Source organism: Homo sapiens, chromosome 5 (genome assembly GCF_000001405.40).
Source record: "Homo sapiens chromosome 5, GRCh38.p14 Primary Assembly".
NCBI classification, from domain to species: domain Eukaryota; kingdom Metazoa; phylum Chordata; class Mammalia; order Primates; family Hominidae; genus Homo; species Homo sapiens.
Window position 1 is genome coordinate 80,762,626 of NC_000005.10, and position 20,804 is coordinate 80,783,429.

A 20,804-nucleotide genomic window follows, 5' to 3' on the forward strand; every position below is an offset into this window, starting at 1 on the left:
TTTTTCTGGTTGCCACTTTTCATAAGCAAATTTTATTTTTCCTCCAAATGTAACTCCTTGCCAATTTAATAATTTTACTGTGTAACCATTTTTATGTGCCTAAATTTTTATTTTATTTTGTTTTATTTTGTTTTATTTTATTTTATTTTAATTTTTTATTTTATTTTATGTTATGTTATGTTATGTTATGTTATGTTATGTTATGTTATTTTATGTTATTTTATTTTATTTTATTTTTGAGACAGACTTTTACTCTCGTCACCCAGGCTGGAGTGCAATGGCGTGATCTCGGCTCACTGCAACCTCTACCTCCCAGGTTTAATCGATTCTTCTGTCTCAGCCTCCTGAGTAGCTGGGGTTACAGGCACCCGCCACTATGCCTGGCTAATTTTTGTATTTTTAGCAGAGATGGGGTTTCACCACATTGGCCAGGCTGGTATCGAACTCCTGACCTCAGGTGATCCACCCGCCTCGGCCTCCCAAAGTGCTGGGATTACAGGCATGAGCCACTGCGCCCAGCCAATATGCCTAAATTTTAGTTGTGACCAATTTTTCATTAGTGTTTCTATATTTTTCATCCCCTTTTACCCCCACAGAGTTTTACTAGAATGATAAGTACTGCTTCTAAGAATACTTGAGGTGCCCAAGAGGACTTACGTAACTGTTTTACATGCCTCAGCTAAATTTGAAAACAATGCACAAGCCAGAACTGGAAATACTGATCCTGGGGAGAAAGATATATGAGTTGGTTATGGGGCCGGGGAGCCTATTGCATCATTATTGGGTACACCATGTTATTGTTTTGCTGGCAATAGCAGAAGCTGTGCTGATAGTCGCAAGTTTTATGGTAGACCTTTTTGAAGTTGCAATGTGGGTGCCAAACCATTTGTTGTTTTTATCCTTGGCTCAGAGCCTGAAAATTGATGCATATTAACCTTCTTTAAACAACAGATCTCCAGGCACCTTGCCTTAACTACTTCAAAGGATTCACTGACAGATGTCAGAGATTTGAAAACAGAAGCAAAGCTGAAAATCTTTCAGTGGCTACTCAAATGCACAAAGTCAAAGTGTCCATGGCATCAAGATGGCAGCATCAGTTCATGGGGCTGTGATTTCTATTCCACCTTCCTGCCTTTTTGTAAACTTTACTTTGATGTTTGTATTGCACAGGGTTTGTGTATTTATAAAAGTTTCAAAACTCTAGTAAAGTCAGAATCTAATTCATTTAAAAAGTGGCCGGTATGCAGTGCAAGAATGACTTATTTTGGAATTTCAAAATATAGTTTACTAACGGAACTTATAACTCACTTGGAAGCCATTCCTTGTTGCTGTTTTAGTGTTTGTTTACACAAGAATGTACCTAAAGATTAGTTTGAAGGGTGAAGAGTAGAAATGATCTGGTAACAAACCAACTTCAGGAAAGCTGAATGCTTTAAACCAATGTTTTATAGATTAGTTGGCTGGCTCTGTGTACACACCATCAAACATATGTCTGTTCTTTATTATTAGATTACTCTAAATAAGCTTCTACTGTGTACACCACATAGTGGGTGATGTCCTGGGTACAGATTGTGCCAATTATGTGAAATTCATAAAATGAGAAGGAACACTGGATGTTGTGGGAAGTGGTTAGCATAGGCTGTATGGTTTTGTGGAACGTGCCCTGGAATATGTACCAATAGGTGTTTTTATGGTGATAATGATAGAGGATCTCAAGTGAGCTGATTCTGGTATAAAATAGACATTTCTTCTTCTTCTTTTTTTTTTTGAAACAAGATCTCACTGTGTCACCCATGCTGGAATGCAGTGGTGCGACCACAGCTCACTACAGCTTCAGCCTCCAGCCTTCTGAGTAGTTGGGACAACAGGCACGTGCCACCATGCCCAGCTATTTTTTTTTTTTTTTTTGCATTTTTTTGTAGAGACAAGGTGTTGCCATGTTGCCCAGGCTGGTCTCCAGCTCCTGGGTTCAAGAGATCCTCCCACCTTGGACTCCCAGTGTGTTGGGATTACGGGTGTGAGCCACTGTGCTTAGCCTAAAATAAACATTTCTTTTGATGGCAAAATGTTAAATTCAAATCCTGTAAATAGTGCTAGTCACAGGAACCCATAATAACTTTGCTCAAGAACTGTTTTGTAAGAAATTCTTAAGTAACTGCCGAGGTTGGTGAATACATTTAAAGGATAATCGCACTTAGCAAATGTTGAGGAGAGTGTTTTCAGAATTTCCTAGGTGAAAATCTTTTTTTAGCTAAGCAGGAATAAGCCCACAGCTGCATGTTCAGTGTGGCACTTAAGCTGGGGTCCTTCCCATCCTGTGTCCAGTGAGGCCCTGCCACCATACTTGTGGGTCTGTGCTCAAGCTCTCCCAGTGAGACAGCTGCTGCCAGAAGTAGGGCTGAACTCCTGGAGAGTGACTTCAGGAGCAGCCACTTACCCATCCTCAGCTTTCTTGTAGCTTCTTTTGAGTTCTTTTGCTTAAGAAACTTGAGAACAACCTGCTGCCTCTGGCTTTCAACATGATTGTAAAGCACTACTGGTTTTCACCTTGCTTCTGTTGCTGACTTAACTTTACATTGTGTCTCAGCTTGGAAAATTAATCATTTTCTTGGGATTACAATAATCATAAGAGGTTAATATTCAAAATTATATTGAAAATGTTTGTGTTTGTTTCTTTACTTTTGTTAAAAGGTATCATTAATTGACTAGTGGCCAAAAAGCTTCCAGGTTTCACATTTATTTAAACAGTCCAGCTTCCTGTATAGGGTGGGGAGGGGGTCTTTCTGGAGAAAAGTTGCCTCATGATACACTTAGAATTCAACATTTGCTCAGTTGGACCTAACTTCTTATTTTTTTTGCATAATTCACCCTTTGTGGTTAGTAATTACCTTTTTGAATACGTTCTTAGCCTTAATCTATTTCATATATACTATCTATTATGTGCCTTATTACTTTACCCCTAAATTGTTTTCTCATCTCAAGACAGTTCTTTTCAGCCAACATTTTGTCAGTTTTATTTTCCTGAGCTGTCTTCTAGAGCCTTCTAACTTGATCCAGTCTGGACTGGTTGTCCCCATATCTGTTGTATAGTACTATCTTAGATTCCCTTTACTTCCCTTGAGTTGAATCTTTTATTTTCTATATTCCATGTCTTCCTCTTCGTTTATTTCTTCATTTTGGTGGAGTATATATCCTCTAGAACCTTCCTGAGAAAGCACGTTGGAAGTAAATCTTTTGAAACATTCATGTCTGAAAGTGGTTTTTTTGTTGTTGTTATTATTGTTACTACCTTCACATTTGATTGGTAGTTTGGATTGGTATAAAATTCTAGGTTTTAGATGACTTCATTATCTTTACTTCCTCTTCTGTTGAATTTTTCATTTCTACTATTATGCTTTAATTTCCAAGAATTTTTGTTTTCTTGTCCTCCAAATGTTTTTTCTTTTTAAAAGTAGCATCTTGTTTCATGGTTGTAGTATCTTCTGTTTCATGGAAGATATTATTAATATTTTTAGAAGTTCCCTAACAGGGCAGAATCCATATTGGTACACAAGTCTTTTTGGATTCTTGATGTAAATTGTGTCTCCGTTTTCCTTAAGGACAGTTTAAAATTCAGATACCTTGAGTCTTTTAAGTCAATTACTGTTTATTTGTTTACTTTATAGCTTCTAACATATTATTGCTGTTGTCTTCTTTTCTAGTGTGTTTTTTTCCTTTTTTTTTTTTTTTTTTTTTTTTGAGACGGAATCTTGCTCTGTTGCCCAGGCAGGAGTGCAGTGGCACGATCTCGGCTCACTGCAGTCTCCGCCTTCCAGGCTCAAGCGATTCTCCTGCCTCGCCACCTGAGTCACTGGGATCACAGGCGAGCGCCACCACACCCAGCTAATTTTTGTATTTTTAGTAGAGATGGGGTTTCACCATGTTGGTAGGGCTGGTCTCGAACTCCTGACCTTGTGATCTGCCCGCCTCAGCCTCCCAAAGTGCTGGGATTACAGGCGTGAGTCACTGCGTCTGGCTGGTTTTATGCCGTTTTAAACAATCTCTTAACTGTCGTTTCAAGATGGAGAGAAATTAGATGCATGTGTTTAACTCACTGTTTACCAGAAGCTATGATATAAAAATTATTCATGTTCATGTTAAAAAAAAAACTACAGTAGTATGCAGGGGTATGCAGTAAAGGGTAAAAAGTCTCCCTCTGCCACCCTTCCATACCTACTACCCAGAGGTAACCAGAGTAAGTCACATGTGTTACCTCCTAAAATTTTTATTGATATTTAGATTTTTTATTTATATAGAATAATGTATATCATTTAAAGAATACAAAGAAAGTGTTACCATGTAAATACATAAAAATATATACATATATGGTATATGATATAAACATACTGTATATATTCAATGTATGTTGAAATTATGGAGTTCTATACTGATGCAAACAGATCTTAATTTTCTTTTAGCTGTTTCGTAGTACTACACTGCATGAGTTTTTCCCAATAAGATCCCAATTGATGGACATTTATTTCTTATTCATCTTTTTAAATTATAAGCAGCGCTACTATGAATATTCAGACACACATATTTTTCACTATTTGTTAGTCTATTTTTAGATAAATTATTTAAAGTGGTGCTTATTCAAAGGGTTATGTGCACTTTTTTATTACGAAGACATGCCAAGTTGTTTTTCAAAAAGGTTAGTCCTCTGCTAAGAGTATATAAAAGTGTCTTTTTTTTCTTTTACATCCTGTTACATGGTTATTGTGAAGCTTTTAAATCTTTGGCGTTCCGATAAGTGAAAAATGCTATCCTATATTTCTAATTTGCTTGTCTTTAATTATATATGAAGATAATCGTATACATACTTGCTGTTCTCTTTCTATGAGCTGCATATTCAGTTTGTTTAGCCATTGTTCTTTGGATTATTCATCTTTTTCTTGTCAATTTGTAAGAGCCTATTATGTTTGGGAGAATTTTGCCTTGTGTCTGTTATGCCTTACAGATATTATCCTTCACATTTTTTAACTTGTTTAACCTATTTTTGCTATATGGTTTATGTTATTTTAAAAATGAAAAAATACTAAACAAGTATTGGCTTTGTTTTCCTTGCCTAAAATTATTTCCTTTATACCTTTAAAATATTACATAGTATTTAACCTCATTTAGAAAATATCAGTGATATTTTATTTCAACTAACTAGTTAATAGAAAATTTAAACTTTCCTCAATTCTGATTCTAACTTTTAAAAGTCACTAATTAAACTTCATTTTCATGTATCTTATGCTATTTCATAAAAAATATTTCTATTTTCAGTGTTCTACCCAAGAGTTCTTCTTGATTGTCAAAACTTTATATCACCTAAAGTCAGAATTTCAAGCAATAATACCTGCTGTTAATTCCCACATTCAGTCAGACTTGCTCCGGACCGTTATTTTAGAAATTCCTGAACTCCTCAGTCCAGTGGAGCATTACTTAAAGATACTCAATGAACAAGCTGCCAAGTAAGTACCAGACCCTGAATTCTTCCTTTTCACCAGTCAGTATAATTCAGTGCATTTGCCATTTATTTGTGGATTCTTAATCTTTACTAGAATAATAATAGAAGTTGCATGAGTACATATATAATTAGAAATGTGATTGGACCCTAAAAGTGTTACATTACAGCTGGAATACTTGCTACCTAAAATTTAGGCAGTTTACCATCTAGGACAGATATAGTACTCCCCCACATATCAGATGATGGAAAGGTAAAACACAGGCAAAGCCAAGCATTAGTAGTTTATTAACCCCAAAATGAGTGTCAGATATCTTGTACTCATTTCCTATATTTCCAGAGATGTCTTTATATTTAGAATCTGTAAAAGCAAAGTTATCCTTTAAAAGGTAGTTATAACATATTGCACAAAACATTCTATGTAAATGAAATAGGATTTGACATTTACGTTTGTCTTTGTTTTCTGCATAGGCAAACAACAAATAATTTATCTCTTGGTTTTACCATGGGAATCATGAAGTTAAAAAGCAGAAATGATTTTAGGGTAATTTTGACCATCCTCAGAGAAGTTAAAAAACAAATCCATAAGTGCTTAGTGACAATTGGAACCACATTTTTCTGACTTCCAGTGCTTTCCTCTTTTATCACACTATGAAAAATAAGCGATAACTGCTGTAATTAATAAACTTCGAATATGTATTTGCATGTTTTGATTTTTTAGAGTTGGGGATAAAACTGAATTATTTAAAGACCTTTCTGACTTCCCTTTAATAAAAAAGAGGAAGGATGAAATTCAAGGTGTTATTGACGAGATCCGAATGCATTTGCAAGAAATACGAAAAATACTAAAAAATCCTTCTGCACAATATGTGACAGTATCAGGACAGGAGGTAATGTCAAGCTTACTTTTATTTTCTATTAGTTTTACTCTAGTAGAAAAGCTATTTTAAAATGTAAATAGAAATCTGAGGATAGGATATGTATTATCTTTTCAAATTTTCTGTTTTATTCCTTGGAAATATGTTGTAATAACTTGTTTTGATAAGAGTTATTTTAATGATAGTGTTTTATTAGTCTCTTGTTAAAGTAATGCAACTTAATGTTATATGTATATTAGCGTTATCTGTTGAAATTATATTATAGAAAATCTCAATTACTATGAATAACAACTTATAGAATTCATTTGTTCTAAATCCAGGAAAGAGAAGTTAGTCTTTGATCCCTACCTTGCAGATGATGAAATGATACAAAGCCTGTGTTGATTGGCTCATACAGTGATTAAACGGTGGGGCTTCCTCCTAAAGTTAAGAGTATAGCTGCTAAAAAAAACAAGTCTAGAGTGAAAAACTACAGTTAGTGAGTCTTCCATAAAATTATGGTACTGTTTAGAATATGTTTCTTGGGGGTGTGTACTTCTGTTTAAAGTTTGATAGTAATGTCTGAATGAGAACCAGAAAAGGAAGAAGTATGCCTTTTAAATATGGTTGTGCTTTTCAGTCCTATTCTGGGTCTTGAGGCATGCTACTCCTATATCTTATGTTTAATAAAATATGAAGATTCAAACTGAGGGAGTTTGAGAAATTCTGTTTTATTAAAATACCAAATTAGGAAACTTATGGTTAACTTCTATAGAATGAGCATTTTATTCAGGATTTTCAAAAAATAGATATTTTTCCGGTGGGGAAGAACTTAATTTCAAATCAAATTTTTAAACATTTACATTGTTTTGTGTGTTTTGCCAAAAGATTGTTGAATGTATAGTTATTTGAAATAAGAAGCTCTACATTAATTGAGAATGTTCATTAAAGTGTTTATTAGTCTTGTGTTATTTCATAGATTTACCCATTAAGTCAACCTGTCTTCTGAACTAAAATTATTAAGATATTATACTCAGCAGACATTCACAATGCCACATAGAGCTCTATATAACAGAAAAATGATTTGACAATATTTATACTTATGTTTATTGTCTGAACAGACAAATACCAAATATTTAATTGTAACTCTTGTTTTTGCTATGCAGTCATGACCTTGCAAAGTGAAAACTGGCCTAAAGGCCACTATTCTGGCTATTGGTTTAAAATCAGATGATCAACACTGCTTTAGTTACTTTAATAAAAGATATGTAGTAGAAAAGTGGCTGCCTTTTCTACTACATTTTTTTTTTTTTTTTTACAGTGGAGAAAGTAAGTGTAAGTGCCAATTCTACCATTTACATGCTATACGACCATGGAAGAGTTACCTCTGTTGTAAGACTATTATGGAGACCAATTAAGTTAAAATACATGAAAGTGCTTTTTAATCATAAAGTGCTATGCTTATACTACTCATATAATAACAATAATAGTAATACAGTTACCATTTATCAAGTACTTGTTAAAGTCTAGAATGGTGGTAGGTGCCTACATATATTATTTAATTCTTATAACAATGCCCAAAAGGGTCATTCCAGTTTGTTGGAAAGAAAACCAAGGTTTGGAGTAGTTAGATAAGTTACCCAAGGTCCGAAGCACAAATCCAGCCCACTTCTGCCAGACTCTAGTCTTTCTATTATATTAATATCAGTATTTCATTCCATTTATTAATTCCAAATATTAACACAAAGATTCTCAACACCATGGATTTTATCTGACAAAATCTAGATATTTTAGAGCTCATAGTATTCAAAATAAAATAAAGTTTAAGTCTTGGAAAGACGGTCCTGGATTCATTTGGCAGTTTTTGAGTAAAAATGAGAGAAAATTATCAGGAATTCATAAGAGATAGTAGACTGGTTATTCATTATGAGTGTGGCATTGAGGTTTAAAAAGTACAGCATGGAGATCAACTAATTGTATTAAAAATTATTAGGAAGATCAGTTATCTTTTATCTTTACTAGGTTAAGTTGATGAATTTGAGGAACAAAGTTTCTTCGTTATTGATAGTAGGATGGATTCTTGTTGGTTTTTAATAATCTTCTCTAGGATTTTAGTAGAATGTTAATACAAAATTGCTTTCATAGAACCTTTTGAAAAAAATAATTCTATTCATTGGAACACCAAAGGAATTCTAAATATTCAAAATTGTTTTAATCAAATTCTGTTTTAAAAACGACTACAGTGGCTCACACCTGTAATCCCAACACTTTGGGAAGCCAAGGCAGGAGGATCGCTTGAGCTCCGGAGTTCAAGACCTGCTTGGGCAACATAGCGAGACACCATCCCTAAAATATAAAATTAGCCAGGCATAGTGGAATGTGTCTATGCTCCCTGCTACTCGGGAGACTAAGGTAGAGAATCACTTGAGCCTGACAGGCTGAAGTTGCTGTGACCTGTGATCATGCCACTGTACTCCAGCCTGGGCAACAGAGAGAAACCCTGTCTCAAAAAAAAAAAAAAAGGACTAATGCTATTCTCAAATTATTTAGAGGTACTTAAAGGACTAGGAACAGACTCCATCAAATATGATTATCTCTGAGAAGTGAGGGAGGCAGGGTGGAAAACCCTTATTTTACATTTATTGGTGCTTTTTTATGCCTTTCTGTTCTGACATTTTATTTCTATACATATGTCTTTTGTAATAACCTTAAAAGACCCATTATAGCAGCCCCATGTGAGCCACGTGATGGTATGTGGATCTTGTTATTTTTACTAAAATTAGATAAATGTGCCAGTCTGTAAATCCAGTGTTATTTTGACAACATTCATTTTTCACCTCTGTTCCCAGCTTTTATATACTCATTAGAATACTAAAGCCTTATTGTATGATTCCTTATTGTCTCTATGTAAATATTGGCTTAGAAGAAATTAATGAAAGCAGAAACTTTATATTTTTATGTAATAATGTACATACATTATTATGTATTATGTAATGAACGTATGTATGAATGTTTGTGTGTATGTATGAAAGTATGTATGTATGTAATGAAAGCAGAAGTTTACATAGTTTACTGCTTCTGTTGCAGTCTCTATCATATTTTATGAATATATACCAATTATCTCTTAACCTTGAATGAAATGTGGAATGGAAATGGGGCAATGTTTACATTGGGGGCAGTACTGATAAGTATTATTATTATTACTAAGGGAAAAAGAAAAATATTGGAAAAAATCTTTAGAAAGGGTTTTATTAATTGACAGCATGCAGCATATCCAAATACCTGTTTACTGGTTTAAAATGTGGAAAATAATCTGTTACATCTGAGTACTTTTTACTTAGATTTAAAATATAGTAAAACATCCTTAAATTATTAAGAGAATGAAATTGGGGGATTGGAGGAATGGGTTAAGTGTGGTGCTGGAGAAAACAGCAGTTTCTGGAGTGAGTAAGAGTTTCGGCAAGCCTAGCAACGTTGCCAGCCCAGTGATACCACAGGCTATATAGATTGAATAACAATATCTGGCATTTAACTAAGACAGAATTGGGTCCCAGGAGAAGAATATGAGAGATTGCTTATAATGAATCAAGGCAGACTACTCACATCAACACCTAATAAACAAAGTCAGGAACTGTAGACCAGGAAAAGTTGCTATGAGAGCTTTCTAAGATTACTGGAATGTATGCTATTTTTCTATGTTAGTTTTCTTTTCTTTAGTAATAAAATTCTTAAACCAAAGGCCTACCTGTTCATTCTTAGAATGTTTGAAAAAAAGAATAGCTAGAGAAAAATGTTGTATCTTATTGTCAGTATAGAAGAGAAGAAAAGCTAGCAGAAGACAACTCTGAGGAGGAACCCAGGCTGAAACTCTGAGGATTGCTGAGTGAGGAAAAGGGACCCTCAGGATCAGTCCAAGGACCAGACCCTGTCTGAGGATGTGACCAGAGGGGTTTAACTTGTGCCTTCCTGACTCTCGCTGTTTTCCCCCCTGCAGTGGCACTGTATTGGCTCTGTGTATGGTAGCCCGCTGTAGTGATTGTGCTCCTAGAGTAGAACTTTTGATACTTACAGATTGAATAGTTGTGGTCCAAACTGTTCCCAAGGTGCTCCTTGTTCAAAATGTCCACCATCCCTTAGCCAGTAACTCCTGTGGAGCTCTGTGTTAGTCATTATGCATCTGGATGTGTCCTTCCCAAATATCAGTGATCCAATCAGTCTGTTCCTGAATTTTGCTGTTTGCCTTTAGCATAGCTCTTTCCAGAATTATTTTATAAAAAGGCCAACATTTCTTTTAGTAGAACACTCTAAAACAGCAGAATTATTTAGCACAGTTTAAAAGTGATTTTATCTTTCCCATTAGTGATATTTTTTGTGGTTTTTCAAAAGTTACTTTTTGTAGCCAAAGGAGGCTTGTTAGACTCTTCACTCTTAACTATTTAAGTGGGTGTGGCAGATTTGAAACTGTAGTAATTCTCTATAAATGAGGGCATCACTAGTTCAAAACAGTTTTCTAATGATGAAATTTTTTAGATTAGCCACTAATTCTTAATATAATTAATGTAAAAGCTACAGTGTTTCTATTAATGGGAAAAATAAACTCAAGAACCATGTTGATACTGTTATTAATATGAACATTATAAATACCTGAAGGTACGTGCATATAATAAAACTGATAAATGTGAAAAAGTTCTCATAGCTCTCTCAAGATGACAACCACACAGTTTCTGGGTTCCATTCTGCTCAAAATGGGTTTTTATAAATTTATTTAAATGAATCATTGAATTAGTTCTTTTGTTTTTCTTTTTGTTTTTTATTAAGACAGATTCTTGCTCTGTCGTCCAGGCTGGAGTGCAGTGGCACAATCTCGGCTCACTGCAACCTCCACCTCCTGGATTCAAGTGATTCTCCTGCCTCAGCTTCCCGAGTAGCTGGGATTACAAGTGCCTGCCACCACGCCTGGCTAATTTTTGTATTATTAGTAGAGATGGGGTTTCACCATGTTGGCCAGGCTGGTCTTAAACTCCTGACCTCAGGTAATCTGTCCGCCTCAGCCTCCCAAAGTGCTGGGATTACAGGTGTGAGCCATCGCGCCCGGCCTGAATTTGGTTGCAATAATACAGAAATGCAAGCACACTGAGAAAAGATAATACATAACTAAGGCTAAAAATGAATGGTGTGATAGAACTTCACTTGCTTCCTGGCTGATTTCAGAGAACCTTATTTGCAGAGCACAGTTGGATCTATAAATATATTATGAATGTAAATTAAAATGACAGGAGATATTATCTCACCCCAGTTAAAATGGCTTTTATCCAAAAGACAGGCAATAACAAATGTTGATGAGGATGTGGAGAAAAGGGAACTCTTGTACACTGTTGGTGGGAATGTAAATTAATACTACCACTACCACTGTGGAGAACAGTTTGGAGGTCCCTCAAAAAAAAAAAAAAAATAGAGCTACCATATGATCCAGCAATCCCACTGCTAGGTATATATCCCAAAGAAAGGTAATTAGTATATTAAGGAGATATCTGCACTGCAGTGTTTATTGCAGCACTATTCACAACAGCTAAGATTTGGAAACAAACTAAGTGTCCATCAACAGACAAATGGGTAAAGAAGCTGTAGTATGTAATCACAACAGAGTACTATACAGCCATAAAAAAGAATGAGATCCTGTAATTTGCAACAACATGGATGGATTATGGAGGTCATTATGTTAAGGGAAATAAGCCAGGTGCAGAAAGACAAACTTTGCGTGTTGTCACTTACTTGTGGGAGCTAAAAATTAAAACAGTTGAACTCACGGAGATACAGAATAGAATGATGGTTACCAGAAACTGGTAGTGGTAGTGGGGGTGGAGGGGATGAGGGGATGGTTAATGGATACAAAAAAACCAGAAAGAATGAATAAAACCTAGTATTGATAACATGGTAATTATAATCAATAATAATTTAATTGTACATTTTTAAATAAAAGAGTATAACTGGATTATTTGTAGCACAAAAGATAAATGCTTGAGGAGATGGATACCCCATTTACCCTGATGTGATTATTACGCATTGTATGTCTGTATCAAACTATCTCATGTAACCAATAAATATATACAACTACCATGTACCCACAAAAATAAAAAAAAGATACTATGGTTCATATAAGTGAAAACTTGAAGAAAACTCTCATATGGGAAGAAACACTTTCTTCTCTTTATAGTTAGGGAAGTCAGTGCTTTCCTGTGAAGAGACTTTTACAGGATTTCAGTTCCTTGGATAAAAACTATCTAAAAATCCTCTCTGTTCAGAATAGGGGAGGATCATATCTCAGACTGGTGTAACATCTAGTAATTGAATATTTTAAAATTTTATATACTTAGAAATTCAATCTTTTATGAGTAGTAGAATTCTTAAGATAAGTGAGTATTAATAAATGAAAGAGGTGGTTAATGAAAAAGCCATCAGAGTATACATATAACAATATTAGAAACATGAAAGCCCAAGTATTACAAATGTTTTATGCAATACAAATTGTACTTTGTCCCAAGTAGTGAACCCTTAATTAATAATATTTGTCTGTATTGACATATATACAGTCTGAAAAACAATACTGGACTTATCTTGAGTGTTTAACAATATATAATAAATTGTTATACCACAATTTGGGGAAAGCTTTAAAATATATAATGGTTACTTATCTAAATCTCTGTTTATTTGTATTTGTTTTAGTTTATGATAGAAATAAAGAACTCTGCTGTATCTTGTATACCAACTGATTGGGTAAAGGTTGGAAGGTAGGTTTAAAATAAATTTTTTTCTTACAATGCATTATGATGACATCTGTATATCTATGTGCTACTGGGCTCATCGTAGCCACATTCTTGAAATTAAAAGCAATTCTTTTTACTTATTTTTTCTGATGGAACTTTTTTTTTTTTTGGAGGGGATGTAGTCTTGCTCTGTCACCCAGGCTGGAGTGTAGTGGTATGATCTCAGCTCACTGCAACCTCCGCCTCCCTGATTCAAGGGATTCTTGTGCCTCAGCCTCCCGAGTAGCTGGGACCACAGGAGTACACTACAACCCCCGGCTAATTTTTGTATTTTTAGTAGAGACGGGGTTTCACCCTGTTGGCCAGGCTGGTCTCAAACTCCTGACCTCAGGTGATTCACCCACTTCAGCCTCCCAAAGTGCTGGGATTACAGGCATGAGCCACTGTGCCCTGCCCTTTCTTATGGAACTTTTAACCAAGGAGATCATTACTTTTAACTCTTTATCATTGATTTTAAAACATTTTTCAAAAAGGTATCTTATTTTTACACATTTATTTTCTTGTTTTGTAAATTATTGCTTTATTTTTATAGCACAGGGTACACATGGAAGAAAAGTTGAGGAACCTTCAATTGTAAGATTAATTTAGTTGCTTTTACTTCATGGTGAATGCTATGCCTGACATTTCTTTTAAGAAGCTGCAATTTCATTTTCTACCTCACTGAGCTCCACATTTCTTTATTCTTAATGCCTTCCTTGGCACATAATTATTATAATTCTTTACATCTTTTTTTTTGTAACCCAGATCATGAATTGATGAAAATAAATTAATCAAAAACAAATTTAGAGAACCACATTGGGACTCTGCCTTTTCTCCTTGGTTAGATACTAATCTCCAGGAGAGGACTCATTTAAAGACAAGGTATTAGGGAAGTATATACAGCTGTGAATAGTATCTTTTGTGGAATATTTATTAGTACTGTTATCAATAAGTTGCACAAACATGAGATGAAAATGGTACATTTGCCTCAGATGGTAGAAGAGGGACCGTAGCTGGTAATAGTGTACAGACATTCTGTTTTAAGGATGAAGGGAAATTTTGACATAATGTGTGAATGATTGTTACTTTATTACATATATAATATATATAATACATATATACAAAAAATATAATACAAATATATATATATATATATTTTTTTTTTTTCTTTTTTTTAAGACAGAGTCTCTTTTCGTCAGCCAGGCTGGAGTGTAGTGGCGCAATCCCGGTCTACTGCAACCTCCGCCTCCCGGGTTCAAATGATTCTCCTGCCTCAGCCTCCCAAGTAGCTGGGATTACAGGCACCTGCCACCACAGACGGCTTTTTTTTGTATTTTAGTAGAGATGGCGTTTCGCCATTTGGCCAGGCTGGTCTCGAACTCAAGTGATCCACCTGCCTTGGCCTCCCAGTAATTTATTATTTTAACTTAAAAAGAGAATGTTTATTATCCATTGCCACATCATCAGATGTTGAAGGCACAGGCATGGATTTCTTTCATTCTAATACCATCTTTTTTTTTTTAATGCTACCAGAAGCTGTACTTTAGATTTGAGTATTGTTGATTCTAGGGGATGTTTTCTCTTTTTGCAGGCATTCTTTCCTTTATCTGTTTTTGTCCTGTACCACAGCTAATGAATGAAATATGCATTATGAAGAGAAATTACCAAAAACCATGTTAGTCTATCTACAACAATAACTGAAATATCTCCCTAAATGAGTTTTTCCAGAAGATAAAGCTTTGATAAATATGTTGGCCTAGAAGTCTAGATGATATAATTTTAAAGCAACAAGCAAGGCATAAATCAGTGACACCATCTTTCACATGTTCAGTAATGTAAATTGAATCAACAGATAAGATAGTTAGGGAAAGGTTCATTGCAGTTTATCTGTTTGGCCATAGGGTTTTGACAGAGATGAGTTAGAACATCAGGAGTCAGATTTTGAATGCAAAAGGCCCACCCCTAATCCAGCAACTTGGCAAATTAAAGTGCAACAGTGTATTACAAGAGTTGGGGAGCAAAAAAAGACCAGACACCTTGACCTTTTCTTCTTGAAGATTTATCATCATAATGACAGCATTAACAGCAGTGGCAACCGCCACCACCACCACCACCACAACCACAATACTTACAGGCGCTCTCCTAAGTTTTATTTGTTTGATCCTGTCAACAGTACCTATGAGGTAGATATTATTATCCCCGTTTCATAGATGAGAAAAGTGATATTTAGAGAAGGTCTGTTTCATTTGCCCCAAATCACATAGCTAGTAAGTAAGTGGCAGGACTGGAGCCTCGACCTGGCTTCTCTGACTGGGGACCCATGGCATCCCCTGTTGTGCTCTAGCTACTGAACAGAGAGCAGAGATGATACTCAAGCCCAGATGGGGAGCATGTGGTATTTCTTCCTATCCAGAGCCACTGTGAATCTGCACAGATCACAGTATCCTGAAGATCTTTCTTAATTGCCTCCTGACTTAATGCATTGCTTTCTTTGTAATGCTTTTTTATTTTTCTTTTTTCACTGAAATACTTCAATCATACAGAAAAGCCCATAAAACAAAGAATAATACAACCTTCACCAATGTATCTACCTCCCAGCTTTGTCTTATTTTCTTTTACCATATATGCTTCTGATCTTTTTTAAAGAGCATTTTCACTTAGTATAATTTAAAGAAAAAAGCTTTCTGCCTATGAAATAAAAGTTCTAAACTCTGACTTTGCTATATGGGTATAATTTGAAATGCATTTTAAAAGGCTTCCTGAGCAAAGTCATATTCTTTGGAATCAGTAGAGTTCAGGACCATAATTAAAGAATGTTCTTCTGTTTACAGCTGTTTACTTTCAAGGTTCATCAGAGAATAATAAATAACTAATTTTCTAAAGTGATGGCATTTCGGATTTTTTACTAACCTTGATTTCCTATTTGTGTTCTTTCCCCTCTTCTAGCACAAAAGCTGTGAGCCGCTTTCACTCTCCTTTTATTGTAGAAAATTACAGACATCTGAATCAGCTCCGGGAGCAGCTAGTCCTTGACTGCAGTGCTGAATGGCTTGATTTTCTAGAGTGAGTTTACAATGAAAAAATATAATCTGACTTTTTGCTATCAGAAACAGACTGGAAAAATCTTTCCATCAAAAAGAAAATAGAGATTACAGCTCATGACCCACCATAAAATAGTTGAGTACATGTGTTCTCTGATTTTATTTCTTTTTTTTTTTTTTTACTTTTTTTTTTTTGATACTGAGTCTTGCTTTGTCACCGAGGCTGGAGTGCAGTGGCACGATCTCGGCTCACTGCATCCTCCACCTCTCAGGTTCAAGCAATTCTTTGTGCCTCAGCCTCCTGAGTAGCTGGGATTACAGGCACCCACCACTACACCCAGCTAATTTTTGTATTTTTAGTAGAGACGGGATTTCGCCATGTTGGCCAGGCTGATGTTGTACTCCTGACCTCAAGTGATCCGCCTGCCTCAGCCTCCCAAAGTGCTGGGATTACAGGCTTGAACCACTGCACCCAGCCCGAAAGAAATTCTTAAAATCTACTGAAAGTTAAGATGACCCTCTATACACCCTTCACCTAGGTTCATCACATGTTAGCATTTGCCACATTTGCTTTTTATCTCTCATGTATTTTTTTTCCTGAAACATTTGGAAGTAAGTTTTAGGCATTGTAACACTTTACCCCTAAATACTTAAGCCTACGTCTTTAAAAATAAGGACATTCTACTATATAATCTTAACACCATTTATTATTACATCTAAAAAAAATTAACATTAATTTTTTTTTTTTTTTTTTGAGGTGGAGTCTCACTCTGTCACCCAGGCTGGAGTGCAGTGGCGCAATCTTGGCTCACTGCAAGCTCTGCCTCCCGAGTTCTCCCACCTCAGTCATTCTCCCACCTCAGCCTCCTGAGTAGCTGGGACTACAGGCGCACACCGCCACGCCCTGCTAATTTTTTTTTTTTGTATTTTTAATAGAGACGGGGTTTCACCGTGTTAGCCAAGATTATCTCAATCTCCTGACCTTGTGATGCGCCCTCCTCGGCCTCCCAAAGTGCTGGGATTACAGGCATGAGCCACTGTGCCGGCCAAAAAATTAACATTAATTTATGAATATATTTGAATTTCTTGAATTTTCCCAATGTCCCCCCGCCACCGGCTTTAGATTTTAAAATGAAAGACCTAATCAACTTTTACATGTTGCATTTGGTAATTATGCTTCTTTAGTCTGTTTGAACCTAGAATTATCTGCCACGTTTTTTGTTATTTTACCATGGTATTTTTTGAAGAGTCCTTGCCATTGTCTCAAAGAATGCCTTATATTCTGGATTTATTGATAGTCATGTGTTCATATTGGCAGTTTTAAGTCATGGCATGCTGGCCAATGTTTAACAGCCAGCTCTTTGGAAGGACAGTCATGTTTGTAGAGTTTGCTGATTTCTGTAGTGTAAACACTCCCACCAGGGCTGATGTCAAGCTACCACTGGACTGGAGTTGGGAAGAGATGTACACAGTTGATTTTCATGAGTCCATAGGAACCAGCTCTAGACCACCACTGGTCTGAGTACTTTATATATAAACTCAGTATTTTTCACGTGACCCCTGTAAGGCTAAGTATCATACCCAACTTACAAATGAATAAAGTGAGATGCAGAAATAAGAAGTTAATCTTCCAAGGGTAAGGGTTGGAGCCCAGATTCAGCCCCAGCCATCCGGCAGCCAGATGTCTGGCCTTTGCCAGCCTGCCCATGGTGAGCCTGCAGGCATCAGTCTAAATACATCTGTTAGTCTCTCACTTTAAAACCATAAACAGGCCAGGCGCAGTGGCTCACACCTGTAATCCCAGCAGTTTGGGAGGCTGAGGTGGGCAGATCACTTGAGGCCAAGAATTCAAGACCAGCCTGGCCAAGATGGTGAAACCCTGTTTCTACTAAAAATACAAAAATTAGCCGGGTGTGGTGGCATGTACCTGTAATCCCACGTAACTCAGTAAGCTAATGCACGAGAATCACTTGAACCGGGGAGGCGGAGGTTGCAGTGAGCCGAGATTGCGCCTCTGCACTCCAGCCTGGGCAACAGAGCGTGACTGTCTCAAATAAATAAATAAAACCTTAAACAGTAAAAATTCAGTGACGTCCTTCAGGGAGCTTTATTGTATTTCAAGTAATCAACCCGACAAATGAAAAAAACTAAAAACAAAAAAGATATGTGAGAATTTTTACAAGCTAGTAAGTTGGTATCAGTCTTTTGCCCTGAGGAGTCTTGAATTGTAAGACCAGGAAGAGATTCCAATTTACTTAAATCTTTTGAGACTAGCTTGACTCAGAGTCTTGAATGGAGGGATGGAAATTTTGTCTATTCAGTTTCTTTTCTATTTCACTTTTAATTTTCTATTTTAAGGGTTTTCAGGGCCTTTGAGTGTTTCAGTTGTCCTGGCTTTTTCCTTAGTATTACCACTGAGAATGTGAAAACTGAACTAAAATTACACCTTTCAGTCTTCAAGGACTCACATTCTAGAAGGGTCCTGGGATTTGGTGAGGTAATTTCATGTTCATTCTATTCAGACCTTACATAATTTCATAGATCTGGCTTCTATTCTCTTGTCATTATTCCAGACTAAAGAAAGTTGAGGTCTCCCAGGCTAATCATCCTGGTGTTATTCTTGATTCTTTCTTCCTTTTGGTCCCTTTATCTGTTACCAAGTTCTTTTTTTTTTTTTTTTCCTCGCTCTGCCACCCAGGCTGGAGTGCAGTGATACAATCATGACTCATTGCAATCTCTACCTCCCCAGCTCAAGCAATCCTTCCACCTCAGCCCCCTAGTAGCTGGGACCACAGGCATGCAGTGCCACACCTGGCTAATTTTTAAGTGTTTTTGTAGAGACAGGGTTTCTCTATGTTCCCCAGCATAATCTTGAACTCCTGGGCTATGTCCAACCTGTTATCAAATTTCTGATTGTCTTTTTCCCCCTTTGAGGTGTTTCTTTGATTTGTCCCTTCTTCTGTTGTCTTCTAACAGCCCATTATTACCTCAAACCATTCTTACTGTATTGGCCTTCTGACTGGGCCTTCTACTAGGTTGACCCAGGAGTTTTTATTATATTATCCCTAGGCTGTAATTGAGAGTTGCGAAGAGTGAGCTAACAGTAAATATAACATCATAGAAGCATATGATACTCTAATTACTAAGTGAAGAAAATCATGTAAAGTAAAAGTATGATACAGTTTTATATGTGTATATTTACATAATGCACAGCATACAGACTTTTATATTTTTAAAGATTATATATGCTTATTATTGTATTACTAATATGCTTATTGGCCATGTGTATATCTTTGGAGAAATATCTATTCCTATATACATATGAACATACATACATATATATATGTATATGTAGACTCAAAATGTTAACTGATTATTTCTGGATGGTGAGGTTACTGGTGATTTTAATTTCTTTACTTTGCAAATGCAGTTGGCTCTTGATATCTGTGGGTTCTGCATCCATGGATTTAACCAACTGCAGATTGAAAATATTCAAGGAATGAAAAGGATGGTAGCATCTATACTGAACACATACAGGCTTTTTTTTTCCCCTTGTTATTATTTCTGAAACAGTACAGTATAACTGCTATTTATTTATAGCATTTACATTGTATTATGTGTTATAAGTAATCTAGAGATATTTAAAGTCTATGGGAGGATGTACATAGGTTATATACAAGTACTTTACCATTTTATGTAAGGGATTTGAGCATGTTGGATTTTAGCATCTGCAGGGGGTCCTAGAACCAATCCCCTATGGATACTGAGGGATGACTGAGCATGATTTCAGAAGTTCCTATAATGTACATATATTACTTTCAGAATAAGAAAAGTGTATTAAAGTTTTTATCCAGAAAAAGAATATTGGCTGAAATTTAGCTAGAGCATTTTGCAACTAGAGCCCCCACTTGAGAGCAGCATTGATTGTTATGTACACTATTTATTGAGGTACCAGATGGTGTGACTATGATATCATTAAAAAAATGATTAACCTCAATGAACCTGACATCAGAGGATTGAATACCAGCATTACAAATGTATTTGTCACTTACTGAGGTACTAACTGTTGTGCATTAGTCACATTACTTTTGATCAAAATGTTGTCAGAAATTAAGGCTGTAGACACTGCTGTGGATTAAATCCTCCCTTGAAACATGTCTCTCTTTTTTTTGTTCTAGAAGATGGACTGTGTATATTCAGTAATCTTCTCAATTGCAAATTATTTAAAAATTGAATTATATCATAAAAAATTATAGAAATTCATTTGCAAATATTTTCAATTTTTATTAACTTCAGATATCATTGAGCAACACTTCATGGTAAACTTCTCTAGTCATCATAACACTATAACAGCTTTAGAACCAAAGTGTCTTCATCTGCTTCCTATGGACCCAGCAATATCTTTTGGCCAGAGGTTAAATCATAGTGCCTTGACTTCATCCTTAAGTTGGTTGGTAGCATAGTGATAAAATTGCTTGTTGTTATGCTATAAACCCAGTCTACCAGATTGTTATCTGCATTGACCATTTTTCAGCTTACCATTTTTCTAAGTATGGATAATCTCTTTGAAGTTTGGCAAAGTGTATCAAATGGACAAAGACCAAGATGTCAAACA

At 35.8% G+C, this 20,804-nt stretch overlaps 1 protein-coding gene across 1 annotated transcript in view; it reads left to right on the top strand.

The window, feature by feature from the left end:
- The window catches only part of MSH3 (mutS homolog 3), a 222,164-nt gene that overhangs the window by 107,974 nt on the left and 93,386 nt on the right, over window positions 1-20,804 (top strand). Inside the window, exons 14-17 of the mRNA NM_002439.5 lie at window positions 5,308-5,495; window positions 6,210-6,378; window positions 13,069-13,133; window positions 16,095-16,211. Coding sequence (NP_002430.3) covers window positions 5,308-5,495; window positions 6,210-6,378; window positions 13,069-13,133; window positions 16,095-16,211 — 539 coding nt within the window. The remainder of the gene's footprint in view (window positions 1-5,307; window positions 5,496-6,209; window positions 6,379-13,068; window positions 13,134-16,094; window positions 16,212-20,804) is intronic.